General features: G+C 41.7%; 2 long non-coding RNA genes and 1 pseudogene across 2 annotated transcripts in view; all 3 read left to right on the top strand.

Annotated features, from left to right (window-relative positions):
- LINC02198 (long intergenic non-protein coding RNA 2198) overlaps nucleotides 1-13,374 on the top strand; it is a 62,187-nt gene extending 48,813 nt beyond the window's left edge. Inside the window, exons 2-4 of the long non-coding RNA NR_130778.1 lie at nucleotides 10,038-11,002; nucleotides 11,196-11,313; nucleotides 12,171-13,374. This is a non-coding gene — a long non-coding RNA (long intergenic non-protein coding RNA 2198). The remainder of the gene's footprint in view (nucleotides 1-10,037; nucleotides 11,003-11,195; nucleotides 11,314-12,170) is intronic.
- Nucleotides 1-20,575, top strand: part of LOC107984116 (uncharacterized) — a 46,646-nt gene extending 26,071 nt beyond the window's left edge. The window contains exons 2-3 of the long non-coding RNA XR_001742709.2: nucleotides 18,952-19,246; nucleotides 20,489-20,575. This is a non-coding gene — a long non-coding RNA (uncharacterized LOC107984116). The remainder of the gene's footprint in view (nucleotides 1-18,951; nucleotides 19,247-20,488) is intronic.
- RN7SKP251 (RN7SK pseudogene 251) lies at nucleotides 10,365-10,607 on the top strand (annotated as a pseudogene).
- Nucleotides 20,576-21,371: the final 796 nt, after the last annotated feature.

Raw genomic sequence — 21,371 nt, 5'->3', positions numbered from 1 at the left:
ACGCTTCCCAGCCTCTGGTAACCACTCTATGTTCATGAGTTCAATTGTTTTGATTTTTAGATCCCACAAAAAAGTGAGAACATGTGATGTTTGTCTCTCGGTTGTGATGTTTGTTATTTCACTTAACAAAATGATCTCCAGTTCCATCCTTGTTGCAAATGATGGGATCTCATTACTTTTTATGGCTGAATTGTACTCCACTGAGTATATGTACCACATTTTCTTTATCCATTCATCTGTTGATGGACACTTACATTGCTTCCAAATTTTAGCTATTCTAAACAGTGCAGCAACAAACATAGGAGTGCAGGTATCTCATTGATATACTTACTTCCTTTCTTTTGGGTATATACCCAGCAGTGAATTGCTGCATCATATAGTAGCTCTATTTTTAGTTTTTTGAGGAACCTCCAAAATGTTCTCCATAGTGGTTGTACTAAATCACATTCCCACCAACAGTGTACAAGTGTTCCCTTTTCTCCACATCCTCTCTAGCATTTGTTGTTGCCTGTCTTTTGGATATAAGCCATTTTAACAAGGGTGAGATAATATCTCATTGTAGTTTTGATTTGCATTTCTCTGATGATCAGTGGTGTTGATCACTTTTTCAAAAGCCTGTTTGCCATTTGTATGTCCTTTTTTGAGAAATGTTTATTCAGAACTTTTGCTCATTTTAAAATCAGAGTATTAGATTTTTTTTCCTATAGAGTTGTTTGAGATCTTTATATATTCTGGTTATTAATCCTTTGTCAGATGAGTTGTTTGCAAATATTTTCTCCCATTCTGTGGATTGTCTCTTCACTTTGTTGATTGCTTCACTTTGTTTGCTGTGCATAAGCTTTTCACTTGATAGGATCTCATTTGTCCATTTTTGCTTTGGTTGCCTGTGCTTGTGGAGTATTGGTTGAGAAATCTTTGCCCAGTCCAATATCCTGGAGACTTTCCCAGTGTTTTCTTTTAGTAGTTTCATAGTTTGAGGTCTTAGATTTAAGTCCCTAATCCATTTTGATTTGATTTTTTATATGGTAAGAGATACAGGTCTAGTTTCATTCTTCTGCATATGGATATCCAGTTTTCCCAATACTATTCATTGAAGAGGCTATCTTTTCCACAGTGTCTGTTCTTGGTACCTTTGTCAAAATCAGTTCACTGTAGATGTATGGATTTGTTTCTGGGTTCTCTATTCTATTCCATTGGTCTATGTGTCTGTTTTTATGGCAGTACTATGCTGTTTTGCTTACTATAGCTCTGTAGTATAATTTGAAGTCAGGTAATGTGATTCCTCCAGTTTTGTTCTTTTTGCTTAGGATGACTTTGGCTGGTCTGGGCCTTTTGTAGTTCTGTAAAAATTTTAGGATTTTTTTTGTAGTTCTGTGAAGAATGTCTTTAGTATTTTGATAGGGATTGCGTGGAATCTGTGGATTGTATATGGCTTTGGGTAGTATGGGCATTTTTAACAATACTGATTTTTCCAATTTGTGAACATGGAATATTTTTCCATTTTTTGGTGTCCTCTTCAATTTCTTTCATCAGTGTTTTATAGTTTTCATTATAGAGATATTTCACTTCTTTCGTTAATTCCGAGGTATTTAATTTTATGTGTGGCCATTGTAAATGGGATTACTTTTTTGATTTCTTTTTCACGTTTTTCACTGTTCACATATAGAAATGCTACTGATTTTTGTATGTTGATTTTGTATCCTGCAACTTTGCTGAATTTGTTTATCAGTTCTAATAGTTTCCTTGTGGAGTCTTTAGCGTTTTCCAAATATAAGATTATATTACCTGCAAACAAGGATAATTTGACGTTTCCCTTTCCAATTTGGATGCTCTTTATATCTTTCTCTTGTCTGATTGCTCTAGCTAGAATTTCCAGTACCATGCTGAATTAACAGTGGTGACAGTGGGCATCCTTGTTGTGTTCCAGATCTTAGAGGAAAGGCTTTCAGTTTTCCCCCATTCCATATGATATTCACTGTGGGTCAGTCATATATGGCTTTTATTATGTTGAGGTATGTTCCTTCTATCCTGTCTTTTGGGAGTTTTTATCATGAAGGGATGTTGATTTTCATCAAATGCTTTTTCAGCACCAGTTGAAATGATCATATGGGTTTTATCCTTCATTCCTTTGATATGGTGTATCACATTGATTGATTTGCATATACTGAACCATCCTAGCATCCCAGGGATAAATCCCATTTGGTCATGTTGGATGATCTTTCTAATGTATTGTTGAATTTGGTTTGCTAGTATTTGGTGGAGGAATTTTGCATCAATATTCATCAATATTCAATTCAATATTGGCCTATAGTTTTCTTTTTTTGATATGTCTTTGTCTGGTTTTTGTATCAGGGTAACCCTGGCCTCATAGAATGAGTTTGGAAGGAGTATCCCTCCTCCTCTATTTTTTGGAATAGTTTGGGTAGGATTGGTATTAGTCCATCTTTAAATGTTTGGTAGAATTCAGCAGTGAAGGCATCAAGTCTCAGGCTTTTCTTTACTGGGAGACTTTTTATTATGGCTTCAATCTTGTTACTTGTTATTGGTCTGTTCAGGTTTTGGATTTATTCCTGATTCAATCTTGGTAGGTTGTATGTGTCTAGGAATTTGTTTATTTCTTCTAGGGTTTCCAATGTATTGGCATATAGTTGCTCATAGTAGCCACTAATTATCCTCTGAATTTCTGCAGTATCAGTTGTAATGTCTCCTTTTTCATTTCTGATTTTATTTATTTGTATCTTCTTTTTTTCCCCTTTGTTAGTATGGCTAAAGGTTTGTCATTTTTGTTTAACTTTTCAAAAAAACAACTTTTTGTTTCATTGATCTTTTTTTTTTTTTTTTTTTTTTTTTCTTCACGGAGTCTCACTCTGTCACCCAGGCTGGAGTGCAGTGGCATAATCTTGGCTTGCTGCAACATCTGTCTCCTGGGTTCAAGTGATTCTCCTGCCTCAGCCTCCCAAGTAGCTGGGACTACCAGCACGTGCCACCATGTGCAGCTAATTTTTGTATTTTTGGTAGAGACAGTGTTTCACTATGTTGGCCAGGCTGGTCTTGAATTCCTGACCTCAGATGATCTGCCGGCCTTGGCTTCCCAAAATGCTGGAATTACAGGTGTGAGCCACAGCACTGGCCTTGTATTTTTTTTTTCAATTTCATTTGTTTCTGCTATGATCTTTATTTTTTTTTTCTTCTACTAATTTTGGGTTTGGTTTGGTCTTACTTTTCTAGTTCTTTAAGATGCTTCATTAGATTATTTGAAGATTTTCCTCTTTTTTATTGTAGGCACTTACAGCCTACAATAAAACTTCCCTCTGAGTACTGCTTTTGTTGTATCCCATAGGTTTTGGTATGTTGTGTTTCCATTATCATTTTTTCCAAGAAAAATTTCAATTTTCTTCTAAATTTCTTCATTGATCTACTGGTCATTAAGGAGCATATTGTTTAATTTCCATGTATTTGTATGGTTTCCAAAATTCCTCTTATTATTAATTTCTAGTTTTATTCCATTGTAGTCAGAGAGGATGCCTGATATTATTTCAGTTTTTGAGTGTTTTAAGGTGTGCTTTGTGACATAAGGTATGGTCTGTTTTTGAGAATGATCCATGTGCTCAGGAAAAGAATGTGTATTCTGCAGCCATTGGATAAAATGTCCTGTAAATATCTATTAAATCTATTTGGTCTGTAGTGCAGATTAAGTCTGATGTTTCTTTGTTGATTTTCTGTCTGGAAGATTTGTCCAATGCTGAAAGTGAGTTGTTAAGTCTCCAGCTATTATTGTATTGGGGCCTATCTCTCTCTTTAGTTCTAATAATATTTGCTTTATATATCTGGGTGCTCCAGTGTTGGGTGCATATATAATTGTTATAGCCTCTTGTTGAATTGACCCCTTTATCATTATGTAGTGACCTTCTTTGTCTCTTACAGTTTTTTTCTTGAAATCTATTTGGTCGGATAGAAGTATAGCTACTCCTACTCTTTTTTTGGTTTCTGTTGGCATGAAGTACCTTTTTCTAACCTTTTATTTTCAGTGTATGTATGTCTTTATAGGTGAAGTGTGTTTCTTGTGTGCAACAGATCAATAGGTCTTGTTTTTTCATCCATTCCTCCACTCTATGTCTTTTGATTGGATAAGTTAGTCCATTTGCATTCAATGTTATGTAAATGACATAATATTATGTAAGTTCTTACTTATCAATAACAATATGGACATGATTTAGTTTCTTGCTTTTAAGTTTTTGTGTATCCATTGGATGTTTTTTGGTTTGAGGTTACCATGAGGCTTGCAAATACTATCTTATAATCCATTATTTTAACCTGATAACAACTTAACACTGTTTGCATAAACAAACAAACAAATAAGCAAAAAGAAAACCAATAAAAACTCTATGCCTTAACTTCATCCTCTCGCTTTTTAACTTTTTGTTGTTTCTATTTATATCTTATTGTACTATGTCTTGAAAAGTTGTTGTGTTTATTATTTTTGGTTGGTTCATCATTTATTCTTTGTATGTATGGTAAGAGTAGTTTACACACCACAGCTATGGTGTTATCATATTTTGTGTTTTTTTTTAATACTTACTATTACCAGTGAGTTTTTTATCTTCAGATGGTTTCTTCTTGCTCATTAACGTCTTTTTCTTTCCAATTGAAGAACTCACTTTAGCATTTCTTGTAGGACAGATCTGGTGTTGATGAAATCCCTCAGCTTTTGTATGTCTGGGAAAGTCTTTATTTCTCCTTCGTGTTTGAAGGATATTTTTGCTGGATATACTATTCTAGGTTAGAAATTTTTTTCCTTCAGCACTTTAAATATGCTATACCACTCTCTCCTGGCCTATGAGGTTTCTGCTGAAAAGTCTGCTGCCAGATGTATTAGAGTTCCATTGTATGTTATTTGTTTCTTTTCTCTTGCTGCTTTTAGGATTCTTTCTTTATCCTTGACTTTTGGGAGTTTGATTATTAAATGCCTTGAGGTACTCTAAATCTTCTTCGTGTTGTATAATTCTCTTCTACTTGGATATTGATATCTTTCTTTAGGTTTGGGAAGTTCTTTGTTATTATCCCTTTCAATAAAGTTTCTACTCCTATCTCTTTATCCCCTCTTTGAGGCCAAAACTTTTAGATTTGCTTTTTTGAGGCTATTTTCTAGATCCTGTAAGCATTATTTGTTGTTTTTTATTGTTTTTTTCTTTTGTCTCCTCTGACTGTATATTTTCAAAAAGAGCCTGTCTCCAAGCTCACTAAGTATCTCTTCTGCTTGATCAATTAAAGGACTCTGATGCATTCTTCACTATGCCAATGGAATTTTTCAGTGCCAGAATTTCTGCTTGATGCTTTTTGATTATTTCAATCTCTTTGTTAAATTTATCTGATAGAATTATGAGTCCCCCCAAAAAGAATTATGAATTCCTTCTCTATATTATCTTGAATTTATTTGAGTTTCCTCAGTACAGCTATTTTGAATTCTGTGTCTGAAAGATCACAGAAGTCTGTTTCTCTAGGATTGGTCTGTGGTACCTTATTTAGTTCATTTGGTGAACTAAATAAGGTTTTCCTGGATGGTACTGAGGCTAGTAGATGTTCTTCAGTGTCTAGGCAGTGAAGAGTTAGATATTTATTGTAGACTTCACTATCTGGGCTTATTTGTACCCATCCTTTTTGGGAAGGCTCTGCAGATATTTGAAAAGACTTGGCTGTTTTGACCTAAGCTGTATCTGCTTTAGGGGACACCCTAGCCCCAGTAATGCTGTGCTTCTTGCAGACTCGTAGAGTTACTGTTTTGGTCTTGGATAAGATACTGGAGAATTCTCTGGATTACCAGGCAGAGACTCTTGTTCTTTTTGCTTACTTTCTTCCAAACAAATAGAGTCTCTCTCTCTCTGTTCTGAGCTACCTAAAGCTGGGGGTGGGGTGACACAAGCACCCCGTGGTCACTAAAACTATGACTGCTCTGGGTCAGACCTGAAGCCAGCACACAACTGGATCTTGCTCAAGGCCTGCTGTAACCACTCCCTGGTTACTGCCTATGTTCACTCTAGGTCCTGGGGCTCTACAATCAGCCAGTGGCAAAGCCAGACAGTCCTGTGTCTTGCCCCTCATGGCAGGGAGGTACTCTAGGCCCTTGATGGGTCCAGAGGTACTGTCTGGAAGTCAGAGACTAGAGTCAAAAACCTTAGAAGCCTACCTGGTATTCTGTTGTAGTGCTGCTGAGTTGGCAGTCAAAACACAAGATGCCGTCCTTCCCACTTTTCCCTCCCCTTTCCAAAGTCAGAGGAGCCTCACCCTGTAGCCACCACTACCCCTGGCCATGAGGAGTACTGCCAGACTACCTCTGATATTCCCTTATGACCCAAAGGCCCTTAAGTCAGCTTATGGTGAATGATGCCTGGCCTGGGACTCAACCTTTAGGGCAGGGGGCTCCCCTCTGACCCAGGGCAGGTCCAGAAATGCCATCCAAGAGCCAAGTCCTGGAATTGGAGATCCCAAGAGCCCACTTGGTGTTCTACCCCACTGTGACTGTGCTGGTACCTAAGGTGCAAGACAAAGTCCCCTTTACTTTCCCCTCTGCTTTTCTCAAGCAGAAGGAGTTTTGCCCCATATGCACCACAGCTGGTAATGTGCTGAGTCTCACCTGAAGCCAGCAAGTCTCGAGGTCTTACCCAAGGCCCTTGATGTACCTGGGTATTGCTACTGGTTATTCAGGGGCCCAAGGACTCTTCATTTAGCAGGTGATGAATGCTGCTAGAACTGGGTCCTTTCCTTTAAGGCAGCAGATTCTCTTATGGCCCAGGGTATGTCTAGAAATGCCATCTGGGAGCTAGGGCCTGGAACAGGGGCCTCACGACTCTGACCAGTCCCCTATACTGCTGTGGTTGAGCTGTTATCCAAAGTGCAAGACAAAGTCCTCCCCACTCTTCCCTCTCCTCTCCTCAAGTAGAAGGAAGGGGTGAGCTGTGAAGCTTGGGGTTAGGGGAGGGGTGGTGCCATCATTCCTTTGGCTGCTGCAACTAGTGTCTTAGTATGTCATGTGTCCCCTGATTCCACCGTTTCTGGGCCTAGTTCAGCACCTGAACTTTCCTAAGAGTTTCAGTTCATATAGCCTAGACTGCCTTTCAAGTTTACTGTTCAGACTGCTGGGATTGGCGATTCCCCTCTGTCTAGGTCTGGTTTAAATGCTCTCTCCATGGGCAGGCATCAGCGAGTTTGGTCTGGTTTTCCTTTCTCCTCTAACAGGACAGCACAGAGTTCAGTGACTCACAATTGCTGTGCTCTCCCTCCCGCAGTGCTCAGAGATATTCTCTGCACTACACAGCTGATGCCTGGGATGGGGAGGGGTGGCATCGGCTATTCAGAACTGTTTTTTTCTATCTCTTCAGTGCCTCTTTCAGTGATATGAAGTGAAAACTAGGTACTATGAGTGCTTGCCTGATTTTTGGTTCTTATGCAGGTATTTTTTCTGTGTAGATAGTTGTCAAATTGGTGTCTTTGTGGGGGTTGGGGGACAACTGATGAAGCCTTCTATTCTGCCATCTTGCCCTGCCTCTCTGCTCTATGAAGTCTCTTTGAGGGTATTAATGGGCATTAAAAAAGTGTTCCCGCCCCATGCATCATTTTGGTTTCTTCTGAGTTGCTTTATCCTTCATTGATTTTAGGTACTACTCTTTCATTTTAGGAGTTTTCTCATAGATCTGGTGATCCTAGGTTGCCATTTCATATTAAGAATGAGGCACTAAAAAGTGAATTGGAAGTCATGCAGGCTTGTAAAGCTTGTCGAATGATCGATTTGCTTCTACATCATTGTACCAGGAGACTCATTTTATGGGAGATTCCCCTCACGTCAGTAAGAAGAATTTTTTCCACTGGTACTTCAGAGAAGAGTCTTCTGATCTCCTGACTTGGGAGATAGCTTTTTTTTTTTTTTTTTTAAAGACAAAGTCTTTCGAGTCTTGCTGTGTTGCCTAGCTGGAGTGCAGTGGCACAATCTCAGCTCACTGCAACCTCTGCCTCCTGGGCTCAAGTGATTCCCTTGCCTCAGCCTCCCAATCAGCTGGGATTACAGGCACCTGTCACCATGCTTGGCTAATTTTGTATTTTTAGTAGAGAGGGAGTTTCACCATGTTGGCCAGGCTGGTCTCGAATTCCTGATCCACCTGCCTCAGCCTTCCAAAATGCTGGAATTAGAGGCATGAGGCACCATGCCTAGCTGGAGATAGCCCTTTGATTAGACATGTTCTTTTTTTTTTTTTTTTTCTTTTTTTGAGATGGAGTTTCGCTCTTGTTGCCCAGGCTGGAGTGCAATGGCGCAATCTTGGCTCACTGCAACCACTGCCTCCCGGGTTCAAGTGATTCTTCTGCCTCAGCCTCCCGAATAGCTGGGATTACAGGCATGCGCCACCATGCCGGCTAATTTTGTATTTTTAGTAGGGATTGGGTTTCACCATATTGGTCAGGCTGGTCTCAAACTCCTGACCTCAGGTGATCTGCCTGCCTCAGCCTCCCAGAGTGCTGGGATTACAGGCATGAGCCACTGCGCCTGGCCTGACTGGACATGTTCTAAGGAGTGGATGGAAAGATTTGGAGTGAAATCATTTTCTGTGTATACTTTCAATTAATTTCTGTGAGTTCACCCCGAGCCTTGATTTGTACTATACAGAGCCTTATGTCCTGAGAGTGGGAAGAGAAGAGGCAGAGCAACTGCTCTTACAGAAACTTCCCCCTTACCCTCATTCCTCTCTTTTCTGTTTTGTATCTCATCCCTGCCCACTGGTCTACGTGGGACCTGAGCCTCTTTAATTTGCTTTGTTGGTGAATTGTCTCTTTTCTTACTGTATTTCTGCCTGCATCCTCTCTGCACACCAGTTCCAGTAGTTCTGTGACATAACATTCGGGATTTTCCTGATGCAGATTATTGACATCTCTGTTTCCATCTCTTGGATTTAATGCACTTGGTTTTAAGGAGAGGCTTTCTCATACTTTAGTAAGGTTTGCAGTGACTGATAAGGCAATGGAGTTGTTTCTCTTGATCAGAGAAATTTTTTTTTAAAATGTTGGTTGATTTTTTAAAATCCATAATTGCTTAAAACAACATTAGAAAATAGAGACAAGCAAAAAGAGAGGAAAATCATTCACAGTTCTGTCACCTATTTTGGTGTACATTCTTCTAACTAAAAAATGCATCTCTATGTTTATAAGTAATATGGAGTTCTATAAAAGCGATTATGCTGTAGTTACTTGTCTGTCTGTAAAATGTATCTTTTCTCACTTATTAATACAAGATGACTGTATTCTCGGGTCCATAACTATAGATGCACAGCATATTCCATTGTATCAATTACCCATTTTAGAGCATTTAGATTCTTGTCAACATTTTGCTATTTAAACAGTGTTGCAATGAACACGCTTTTGTATATTTATGTTCATTTGTTAGGAAGAATTCTAACAAGTTCTAGAGGCCTTTTGGTTGTCTTTAATCAAAGAGGGACAAAAAGCTGAGGGAAGTGCTGTTGGGACTATGCCCTGGGAAGTGCCAGGCATGTAGCAGGACCTGGGTAAATGTTACTAAGTGAATGAAGGTCGAAGTTAGCATGAGGAGTTTTGGTAACATGGATGAAAAAATAGCTCTGAAGACTGAGGAGACAACTTGGAAACAGAACTTTGTGTTCACAAAGAAGGGTTCTGTGAAACTCTGAAAACCTAGCAGTGTGTTTCATAAGCAACAAGTCTCACCCTTTTATCCAGTTTAGTCACTGAAACAAAATAGAATTTTTTTTAGGTCCAAGTGATTGAACGAATTAGAATACATAATGCCTACTCTTATGTTTGGAATCATCTTCATCTCTCTTTATTACACTTTCCATCATGTATTCTGGTGGTCTACTTTACCCTCTGTTGAGGTTATGGAACAGGGTTGAGGTGAGGAAGTAAATATTTGAAAAATTAAAGCAACTAGCTAGCTGGGAAAAAAAAGAGAAAGTATAAAAATCTTCCTCTTATTCCCTGTTTTCTTTATGTTTCTTTTTCTTTTTTGAAATTTCCAGTCTTTGCTACAGCAGTGTGTTCCTCTCAAGTCACCCACTCGTTCCTCCAGGGGTCATTGGAGAGTTATTATTTTAAGTCTAGTTCCCAGGTATGACTTCCAATGCAGTGAAAGCTTCTACTGAGACTGTCTAAAACATCTCTTGAATCATCTGCCTAGAACACAGCAAGAACCAGGAAATGAGCTGACAAGACTGAGCAAAAGAGGCAGCATCAAGCTGATGAACTGAGGCGTGGGCATTTTACTCATGGGAAAGGCCCTCGGAACCCACGCTGAGCATGCGCTGAAAACAAGTGTGATCAGTGGGTTCCAAACACCCAGCAGATACATGTGAGGGTGATCTGGCTGTGACTTCTGTCACCCCCTTGATTACCAGGGTTGATTCAGTTGATCTGGCTGGCTAGGTGGGTGTCCCTTTCCCCACTTACTGCTCCATGTGTGTCCCTCCTGAATCTGTGCGCTTGGTTGAAGAGGATGACCATCCCGGATAGAGGAGGACCAGTCTTTGGTCAAGGGTATACAAGTAGCTGTGCCCGCTTGCTAGAACCTCCAAACAAGCTCTCAAGGTCCAAACATCCAGCAGATAATTAGCAATGGATTAGAAAAGGGAGCTGGGAAGGTGGAAGGAAGCAGAAACAGTGAGCCCCCGAATGAAAGAGACAGAAAAACTGAAACCTCAGAAGAGAGCAGTGTGGGGCTAATGAACCTAGAGGCAAAGGGCCCTACCCATCAACAGCCCCCATGAAGGTAGTCACTGGGGGGCCTGAGGATGCACCATCAGGGAGAAGTTCAGTTCAATGTAATCTGTGGAAGAAAGCAGAGAGCACAGCCTGTCATGGAGAAGGATTTCCATTCAAAACCATAGATGTCATAGAAGTTTCGATGCTTAAAAGACCTGTGATTGTCTAGAAAGCTTGGCTTTTCCCAAAGGATTCTGTGAGGCTGAAGTGTTACCAGGTGATTAAGGTTGGTTCTTTTTCTCTGGGTTTGTAGAATTGAAATCGCTGAGGTTGGTGAGATATGGGGTTATTGGTTACTTACCAATGAAGTCATGTATATGGCTGGATTGTGTGGAAAGGGGATGAAATAGGAGGAAAAGCTGTTGTAAAAATGACTCGAGGTTTTTCTTTCTAATTTTTTTTTTCTTTTTTTGAGACAGGGTCTCACCCTGTCACCCAGGCTAGAGTGCAGTGACACAATGATAGCTTATTGTAACCTCAAACTCCCGGGCTCAAGGGATCCTCCTGCTTCAGCCTCCCAAGTAGCTAGGATTACAGGTACGTGCCATCACGCCTGGCTAATTTATTGAGTTTAAAGAGCAGATGTGCTTGGTGCTGGGCGCAGAGTGGTGCTGAATGCATATTCGTAGCACTGAAGGGAACTGCTTTCCAGACTGGCTGTCTCCCACCCAGTGCTCTGGCTATCACGCCTAGAGCTGAATGTGATGGAGTGTGGCGGAGGGAGAGGAGGGAAAAGTCTTCCTGGGGAGACTGCAAGGGAAGGGCTCCTGGAGTGGAACCTGCTGGTGGTAGCTGGGCTGCCTGGGTAATGGCTGTTTTGTGTGGCAATTGGTCCTGGAGGGGCTCCCACCAGGTGAGAAGCCTGGCTGGCCCCATAGCCATGCCATGTGTCGGGCCTGCAGTGGACCCTGAGCAGGCTGGGGAGAAGCTCCTGGTCATGCCTGCCCTATCTAGATCACGCAACTGTGTGAACAGCAAAGCAAGGGGATCCCTAAGTTATAATGCTGGTAAGTCTAGCCTCCATCCCATACAAAGAGATGCTGAACTATTTAGGTTAGGGATGCAGGGGGGGTTGCTGTTTTCCTTGGATTATTAATGGAGAATCATTTTCTGATAATTCACTGCCTCTAGGACAAGCACAGTCTTAGTCTTTCAAAAGAATGGATACATTTGTAGGGTTTTAAAAGAAAAATTCCACTAAAATTTCCACTCCTAGTTGACAGGGCATCACTCCCTCTAAAGACTTTGTTATGAAAACTGCATAAAATTATACCATGATTTTATTGTATAATTTAATACCATTGTTTTTCATTTACAAACCAATTCTTTTTGGAAAAGTTTTAACTATTTATAAGAGCCTTGTGAGGAAACTAATATTGCTCCTATTTTTATAGGTGAAGAGAAATGAAGCTAACATGTTGAAATGAGTGGCCCCAAGGATTACCAGAAAAGAAGTTAATGTTCAGAAAGAGAAAATAAAAGTTCTCTGTATTTTATTCCCCTCAGAGATAACAAAAGTTGACATTTTGTTGTATTTTTCTCTAAGCTTTTTTTTTCCTTTGCTATAAATGCAAAAGGCATCACAATATTTGGTAAACATTTTCCTCTTATTCAGTAGTTTCTGAAAACATGATGTTAAATAGTTGTGTAACATTCTCTCATGCAGATGTCCCATAGTTCATAGTTCATTTAACTTCTCTTTTCCTGTGGGGTATTTGAGCTGCTTCCTATTTGCCTGTGTAAAGAATCCTGTGAGAAACATGTTTGCCCCTTCCCTTCCCTTCCCTTCCCTTCCCTTCCCTTCCCTTCCCTTCCCTTCCCTTCCCCTCCCCTCCCCTCCCTTCCCTTCCCCTCCCCTCCCCTCCCTTCTCCTTCCCTTCCCCTTTCCCTTCCCTTCCCCTTCCCTTCCCTCCTTTCTCTCTCTCTCTCGCTGTCTTACACACTCTCTCTCTTTCTCTCTTTCTTTCTTTCCTTTCTTTCTCTTTCTTCTCTTGCTGTGTCACCCAAGCTGGAGTGCAGTGATCATAGCTCACTGCAGCCTTGAACTCTGGCAAATTAAACAAACATTTTTTGTAGAGATAGGTTCTCACTATGTTGCCCAGGCTGATCTTGAACTCCTAGCCCCAACTGATCCTTCTGCCTTGGCCTCCCAAAGTGCTGGGATTATACTCATGAACCACTGCAGCCAGCCTGCATCACATCTTTATAGGCAGAGAGGCCTGATTTGTCCAGAGATTGTTGGGCAGTCTAGAGAGGCAGAAAGCTACTATCATTATCGTGGTGATCTAAAAATCACCTAAATGTGCAAAAAGCTCTTCTAAGTGTGGGGCACAAAGATGGAAAACACATATTTTTGACTATAAAGAGTTAGCAATTTAGTTACTACTTAGGAGGCAAAGTCTACATGAAAGATAATAATTAATACAAGGCAATAACTAGCCCCAAGGCATGAAATGTGGACCAGCACATGTTGTACAGAGACTTGACACTAAAAACTGTTGATTTATTTTTATTTGCAAGAGCTGAGAGTTTGGGCCACTGATGATGTGTGATCCAAAGTGTGGTGTGGATTTATAATAAAACAGAACTGGTTTCAACTTCTGGCTCTGCTAATTACGATCAATTTCAACTTGGACCAGTCACTTTCCTTTTTGTGACCTCAGCTTTCTTATCTGTAAAATGGGAACAATAACATCAATGTTACAGAGGGACATTAAATGAGATGATGAACTTTTAATGGACTTAAGAGTACTTTTTAATGTTAATAATCATTATAAATGGAACAATTCCAGATGAATACCTGGCATTCTGGCATTTTGATATTCTTTTTTTTAAAAAATTAGAGACAGGGCGGGGCATGGTGGCTCACGCTTGTAATCCCAGCACTTTGGGAGGCCGGGCGGGCGGATCACCTGAGGTCAGGAGTTTGAAACCAGCCTGACAAATATGGAGAAACCCTGTCTCTACTAAAAAATTATACAAAATTAGCCAGGCATGGTGGCACATGCCTGTAATCCCAGCTACTCGGGAGGCTGAGGCTGGAGAATTGCTTGAACCCGGGAGGCGGAGGTTGCGGTGAGCCGAGATTGTGCCATTGCACTCCAGCCTGGGCAACAAGAGTGAAACTCTATCTCAAAAAAAAAAAAAAAAAAATTAGAGAAATTAGAGACAGGGTCTTGCTGTGTTGCTCAGGCTGGTGTCAAACTCCTGGGCCCAAGCCATCTCAAGCCATCTGCCTGCCTTGGCCTCCCAAAGTGCTGAGATTATAGGTGTGAGCCACTATGCCTGGCCTTGATATCCTTTTACAGCCACTATATAATAAAATAATGTACAACACAGACATAGACATAGACATAGACATAGATTTTCGGCCTTCAGAATTTGAAACAGCAGAGCAACAGGGAGTTTGGGGCCGCAGTAAAATGTTCAAGAATTGTTATGTTGTAAAGCCAACCCCTCCCCAAAAATGAAAAGTGCATGTGTCAAATGCTATATCTCATTCTCCCTTTTAAATGGTTTTGCATCTAGCATATTTGCAGGTCAGTGCTCCAGGGACACTAAATGGCTTGTTGGCAGAACAAAATGTTGGTCTCACAGTGTTTGTGCGTCCTCCAGCACCGGGAGGAGATGCGCTGCAGCTTGTCCTAAGATAGATGGAAGGTTGTAACTCTTTCTTGTCAAAAATGAAATTGCATGAAATTCTTCATTCACTATGCAAGCAGAGAAGCTGAAAGTATAAGTAGAATGGAAAAACAATCTTTCCCTCTTAAGGTCCTGAGGAAGAGAAAGTCTTTGTTGTCAGGAGAAATAAAGCTGGAATTGGGTAGCATGGAGCACTAATGATAGTAACCAGTGTTATTAGTTCTTTGTGCAAATGTGTGTGGAGCACGTTTAGGAGGTAGAAGTGGGTTGTGTGGAACAGAAATACGGACGCCCACATTTTAGTCAGGAGAGGCTGATGCATGGAGAGGAGATCCTGAGATTGGCAAAGGGAGAGTGGGCCTGAGAGAGGCCCAGGAATCCTTGGACTGGAGTGTACCAGGACCAACGCTCTGGGGCTGTGTGGGGCGGGAGAGAGGAGAGGGTAGGCTGGAGCCAGAGAAGGTGTGAGGGTGTGTTTGAGTTGGCAAGTGGGTGTGGGAGTGGGTATGAGTGTATGTGGGAATGTGTCAGTGTGTGAGAGGATGTGTAAGTGTGAGTGGGTGTGTGTGTGAGCGGATGTGTGTGTGTGAGAGGGCATGTGTGTGTGTGTGAGAGGATGTGTGTGTGTGAGAGGATGTGTGTGAATGTGTGAGAGGTGTGTGAGTGTTTGAGAGGATGTGTGTGTGTTTGAGAGGATGCATGAGTGTGTGAGAGGATGTGTGTGTGAGAAGATGTGTGTGTATGTGAGAGGATGTGTGTGTGAGTGTGTGAGAAGACGTGTGTGTGTGAGGATGTGTCTGTGAAAGGATGTGTGTGTGTGAGAGGAGGTATGTGTATGTGTGTGAGAGGATGTGTGTGTATGAGGATGTGTGTGTGTGAGAGGATGTATGACTGTGAGTGTGTGAGAGGATTGTGTGTGTGAATGTGTGAGAGGATGTGTGTGTGAAAGGATGTGTGTGTGAGAGGATGTATGTGTGTGAGGATGTATGAGTGTGAGTGAGGATGTGTGTGAGAGTGTTAGAAGATGTATGAATGTGTGTGAGAGGATATATGTGTGTGAGAAGATGTGTGTGTGTGAGAGGATGTGTGTGAGTGTGTGAGAGGATGTGTGTGAGAGGATGTGTGTGTCACTGTGTGAATGTATGTGTGTGTGAGAGGATGTGAGTGTGTGTGAGGATGTGTGTGTGAGGATGTGTGAGAGGATGTGTCAGTGTGTGAGAGGGTGTGTGAGAGAAGGAATGTATATGTGTGTGAGAGGATGTGTGTGTGAGAGGATATGTGTGTGTAAGGATGTGTGTGAGAGATGTGTGTGAGTGTGTGAGAGGATGTATGAGTGTGTATGTGAGGATGTATGTGTGTGTGAGGATGTGTGAGTGTGTGAGAAGACGTGTGTGTGTGAGAGGATGTGTCTGTGAAAGGATGTGTGTGTGTGAGAGGAGGTATGTGTGTGTGAGAGGATGTGTGTGTATGAGGATGTGTGTGTGTGAGAGGATGTATGACTGTGAGTGTGAGAGGATTGTGTGTGTGAATGTGTGAGAGGATGTGTGTGTGAAAGGATGTGTGTGAGTGTGAGAGGATGTATGTGTGTATGTGAGGATGTATGTGTGTGTGAGGATGTGTGTGAGAGGATGTGTGTGAAAAGATGTGTGTGAGTGTGTGAGAAGATGTGTGTGAGGATGTGTGTGTGTGTGGGAGGAGGTATGTGTATGTGTCAGAGAATGTGTGTGTGTGAGGAGGTATGTGTATGTGTGTGAGAGGATGTGTGTATGTGTGTGAGAGGATGTGTGTGCGTGTGTGAGAGGATGTGTATGTGGACGATGTGTGTGTGAGAGGATGTATGAGAGTGAGTGCGTGAGAGGATGTATGTGTGTGACTGTGTGAGGATGTGTGTGAGTGTGTGAGATGATGTGTGTGTAAGAGGATGAGTGTGTGTGAGAGAGGATGTGTGTGTGAGAGGATGTGAGTGTGAATGTGTGTGAGAGGATGTGAGTGTGAATTTGTGTGAGATATATGAGTGTGACTGCGTGAGAGGATGTGTGTGTGAGTTTAGGATGTGTGAGTATGTGTGAATGTGAGAATGTATGCATGTTTGAATTGTGAGAATCTATGAGTGTATGTTTGTGAATAATGGTGTACGTTTGTCTAATCAAAGGAAATCTCATGTTTGAGACCACTAGTAAAGGATTTCTCCAAACTTCAGGATTCCTGGAATTTTAGCCAACAATATTCTCTGATATCAGCTTTACTGTGTTGGAGACACTTTCTCTGGAGCAGCTGCATAGAACGGTGTTGGTGCAGAAATCTGGAGTCAGCCTGCTGAGAGGCCTTCTCTGTGTGAACCTGGGCCAATAACCTCTCTGTCCCTTAGTTTCCTTGTCTCTGGAATGTGGATGACAGGAATAGTTCCTACCTTATAGGGTAGTTGTGAGGGTTAAATAAATGAGTTAATGCACCTAAGGCGTTTAGCATGTTGCCTGGCACATAGTAAGTGCTAAATAAATGTTAATTGTTATCAAAGTGTTGGGTAAAAGGAAACTTCATGCCCATTCTGGCTGTCATTTAAAAACGACTTAATGTTTGATTAAAATAGTCACATCAAAGGTCGAAATATATAACAAAGTGGAACGTTTCTTCTCACCTGTGTCCTCCATTCCTGCAGTTCTCACACCCCTATAAACATGTAACCACTGGAATTAATTCTTTGGGCAAACTTTTAGAAATACTTCATGCTGTAATCCCAGCACTTTGGGAGGCCGAGGCGGGCGGATCACAAGGTCAGTAGATCGAGACCATCCTGGCTAACACGGTGAAACCCCGTCTCTACTAAAAATACAAAAAAAAATTTAGCCGGGTGTGGTGGCAGGTGCCTGTAGTCCCAGCTACTTGGGAGGCTGAGGCAGGAGAATGGCGTGAACCCGGGAGGTGGAGCTTGCAGAGAGCCAAGATGGCCCCACTGCACTTCAGCCCAGGTGACAGAGCAAGACTCTGTTAAAAAAAAAAAAAAGTAAGAAATACTTCATGCATGTAGAAGCAAACACAAACATATCTCCTCCTTCTTACACAAATGACAGTGTATTATGCATATTGTTTCTATGCTTTTCCTTCACAAACATAACGATGTGGCGATCTTTCTATATTCTTACCGAATGAACTTCCTCACTATTTTTTTTAAAGCTGCATAGTATTCCGTTGTTTGGATCCACCATAACTCACCTACTCATTTTCTTTTGACGGACATTTAGGTTGTTTACAACGTCTTCCAAACTGTCTGACACGATGTTTTTACAGCCCAAATACTGGGCAGAGCCGTCTGCATGAAACATTTCGAGGAGATTATCCATGAACTATGGAAGAGCCGAAAAAAGTTCTTGTATCCTCTCTTTTTCCCCGCTTTTTGCTGTAGTAAACTGTAATCAGTCCAGCCAAGAGGGTTTTATGGGATTTGGGCTTTGTACCATCAACATTCATTAAATAATACTGGAATTTGTTCCTGCCACGGATGAAAACTTAGCCAGTTGGTAATAACTTACACATTTGCTGCCTGAAAAGGAGCAAACAGCCGGTAAGGGTGACTTAACGTGGACAGTCCGGTCACCCTTCCCCAGCACGGTGTCCATTCACCAGCAGAGGGCTCTCTCCTTTTGGGAAAAATACAAATGTCTCCGGGAAAGGTTTTAAACTTCACAGCCGGGCACCGAGTGTGGTGTTTCTCTTCTCTGCAGTGGATTGGTGTGTCGCTCCCTTGAATATTTAGGGATTAGCTGAATACTGAATTTGTCTGTGTTTTGAGTGTGTTTATGTGTGGGGTGTTGTGGAGAGGAAGAGAGTCCAGCATTCCCCAGAGGTCTGAGGAGAAAGCCTGTGACTTGATCCAGAACCAGGGATTATAGTTTTTCCCTTCTTCAGTGTATGAGGCATCCTGGCCTTGTCCTGTGTTTCAAGATTAGAAACCACACACATATATCCCAGTTTTCTGGGATATGCTTGTGAGATGATCGGGCCGTAAACCCTGTTTATATGACCCCTGGTGACTGCTCTTTCAGGTTAGTGTTCCCAAAAAGTCAGGTGAAAATCTGTCTCATTACTTTCAAGGGGAAGAGGAAAAGCACTGACCACCCCCCTACCCCAACACTTTTTTTTTTAAGGACAGAGTCTCACTCTGTCACCCAGGCTGGAGTGCAGGGGCGCCATCTCAGCTTACTGCAACCTCTACCTCAAACAATCCTCCCACCCCAGCCTCCTGAGAAGCTGGGACTACAGGCACATGCCACTATGCCTGGCTATTTTTGTATTTTCTGCAGAGGCGGGATTTCAGTATGTTGCCCAGGTTAGTCTTGAACTCCTGGGCTCAAGCGATCCACCTGCCTCAGCCTCCCAGAGTGTTGAGATTACAGCTGTGAGGCACCATGCCCAGCCGGCAGTGCTGACATTAATTTAGCATTTCCTGAGGTAGTCTAGTGAGGTTAGGCCACTGAGTCCTACTTCTCTCCATTCTCATTGGGTTGATATTCCTGCCCTTTCCATCCCAAACAGTGCAGTTCAGGAAACCAGGCTGAAGAATGTGAAATACATCGCCCAAAGTCAGACACGGAGGAACAACTGCTTCGGAGCTAGCAATTTCCTGAGCTGGAATTGCACCACTGGCCTGTAGAATCCAAACTGTTTTCTACCAGAACAACTCCTTCCCTGCAGGAAGCAGGGTGTGCACAGCTGAACCCTGGTCTGAGAAGGTTGAAGTCACTGACTCAGCCCCAGCAAGGAAGTTGCCCTTCGACTTCTGACCTCTGGCCCTGTTTGAAAACCAACTCAAATCGTTTTTCTTTTTCAGGTAAAGACAAAATGATGCCATGAATTTCTATTTTCTTTTATTCAGGGCACACCTAGGCTAATATTGAACAAACTTCAAGGAAATGGAAGACACAAGGGTTTTGAGAAACTGAATGTAGAGCCTGCCTCTTGGAAAATGGTCCATTCCCAGACCTGAGTCATTAGGGCAGGTGCACAGAGCACCTGCACACTGGGCGATTGCCCAGAGGTTCTCCAGCTAGAGGGAGTGGAAGACCCCAAACTGGTAGTGTCACCCAGACCAAAGCTGGCCTCTCGGTCTTAATTTTTTTTTATGTTTTATTTTTTGAGATGGGGTCTCACTCTCTCTCCCAGGCTGGAGTGCACTGGCCCGATCACGGCTCACTGCAGACTTGACTTCCCCAGGTCAAGTGATCATTGCACCTCAGCCTCCTGAGTAGCTGGGACTACAGCACACAGCACTACACCCAGCCAATTTTTTTGTATTTTTTGTAGAGGCAGTATTTCACCATGTTACCCAAGCAGGTCTTGAACTCCTGGGCTCAAGCAATCCACTTGCCTCAGCATCTCAAAGTGTTAGGATTACAGGCGTGAGCCACCATGCCCGGCCCCTGTCTTATTTTGATTAGAGAAAGAAGCAGCACAGAGCGAAGAGGAAGGGTGAGGCAGGCTCGTCAAATGAGCCCTACAGGTGCTTTTCAACGCCGTTCCTTGTAATTTTGCACAGACAGGGAGGAGACTACTGGGAACTCACTAGGTATTATATAACTAACTTAGATAACTCTTCATCTTGTAAAACTCAGAAACACCTGTTACACTGCTTTTAAAGTCAGTTGTACTAGGTTACCTCACAGGATTTTGAGAAATGGTTTTCTCTTGATTACTTCTTTTCCACTCACAATGTTACACACCTGTCAAGCATGTGGCAACAATGTTTGTTCAAATCTCTCTGGAGTTAGAATAAAATTATGTGCAAGTTTCTACTGAAAAAGAATTATTCAAGAAATGAATGTTTAAAAAAGCAGTTGTGATTGATCCATTTCCAAAGTATTCACACTGATGCTGATATGATTTGAATTTGTATCCCCGCCCAAATCTCACGTTGAATTGGAGGAGGGGCTTGGTGGGAGGTGGTTGGATTATGGGGGTAGATTTCTCCCTTGCTGTTCTTGTAATAGTGAGTGAGTTATCAAGAGATCTGAGGGTTTAAAAGTGTGTGGAACTTCCCCTTTTCTCTCTCTTTCTCTCCTGTGACCATGTGAAGAAGCTGCTTGCCTCCGCTTCACCTTCCACCATGATTGTAAGTTTCCTGAGGCCTCCCAGTCATGCTTGCCGTTAAAACTGTGGAACTGTGAGTCAATTAAACCCCTTTTCTTCATAAATTACCCAAGCTCAGGTAGTTCTTTATAGCAGTGTGAGAATGGACTAATACAGATGCTTAGTTTATGGGTTCTCAAACTTAAGCGTGTGTCTTGAAACACAGATTGCTGGGTTCCATCTCCAGGGTTTCTGATTTTTAAAGTCTGAGGTGGGCCCTAAATTTTGCAGTTTGAACAACTTTGCTGGGGGATGATGATGTTGCTGTTTCAGGGACCACACCTGGGAGTTACTACCTCACTTACTGCAAGATTGTTAAACTCAAGATAGTAGAAGTATTGTTGTTTGTCCCTACACTGCCTTTCCCTTAGCTGGTAGGAAAAGTTCGTAATTAAGACGGCAGGCTCTGAATGCAGACAGAATTGTGTTTGAATGCTTCCTCCAACACTTCAACTACTGTGATCTTGGCTACATTTATTTAAATTCTCAGAACATCAGTTTTCAGGCCTAAAGAAAAGAAATAGTAGCATCTAGTTCATAGGGTTGTGTGTCATGAGACCAAATATATAATTGGCTTAGCGTCTATTGTATACTATATTGACATCTAGTATATATACAATAAGTGGTAGTTATTTCTAAGAGTTCTTGCATATCTTTGAAGCAGCTTATTAGGTTTATTAAAAAATAGACCAAAATTAAAAGAATTAAATGTAAGGCATGGTTACTTTAATTTTTTTATTTTTTTATATTTAATTTTTAAATTTTTTTCTTTTCTTTTTTTTAAATTATACTTTATGTTCTAGGGTACATGTGCACAACATGCAGGTTTG

Source organism: Homo sapiens, chromosome 5, assembly GCF_000001405.40.
Source record: "Homo sapiens chromosome 5, GRCh38.p14 Primary Assembly".
Taxonomy (NCBI): Eukaryota; Metazoa; Chordata; class Mammalia; order Primates; family Hominidae; genus Homo; species Homo sapiens.
Note: the sequence above shows the minus strand (reverse complement) of the source record. Positions and strands in the feature narration are given on the sequence as shown.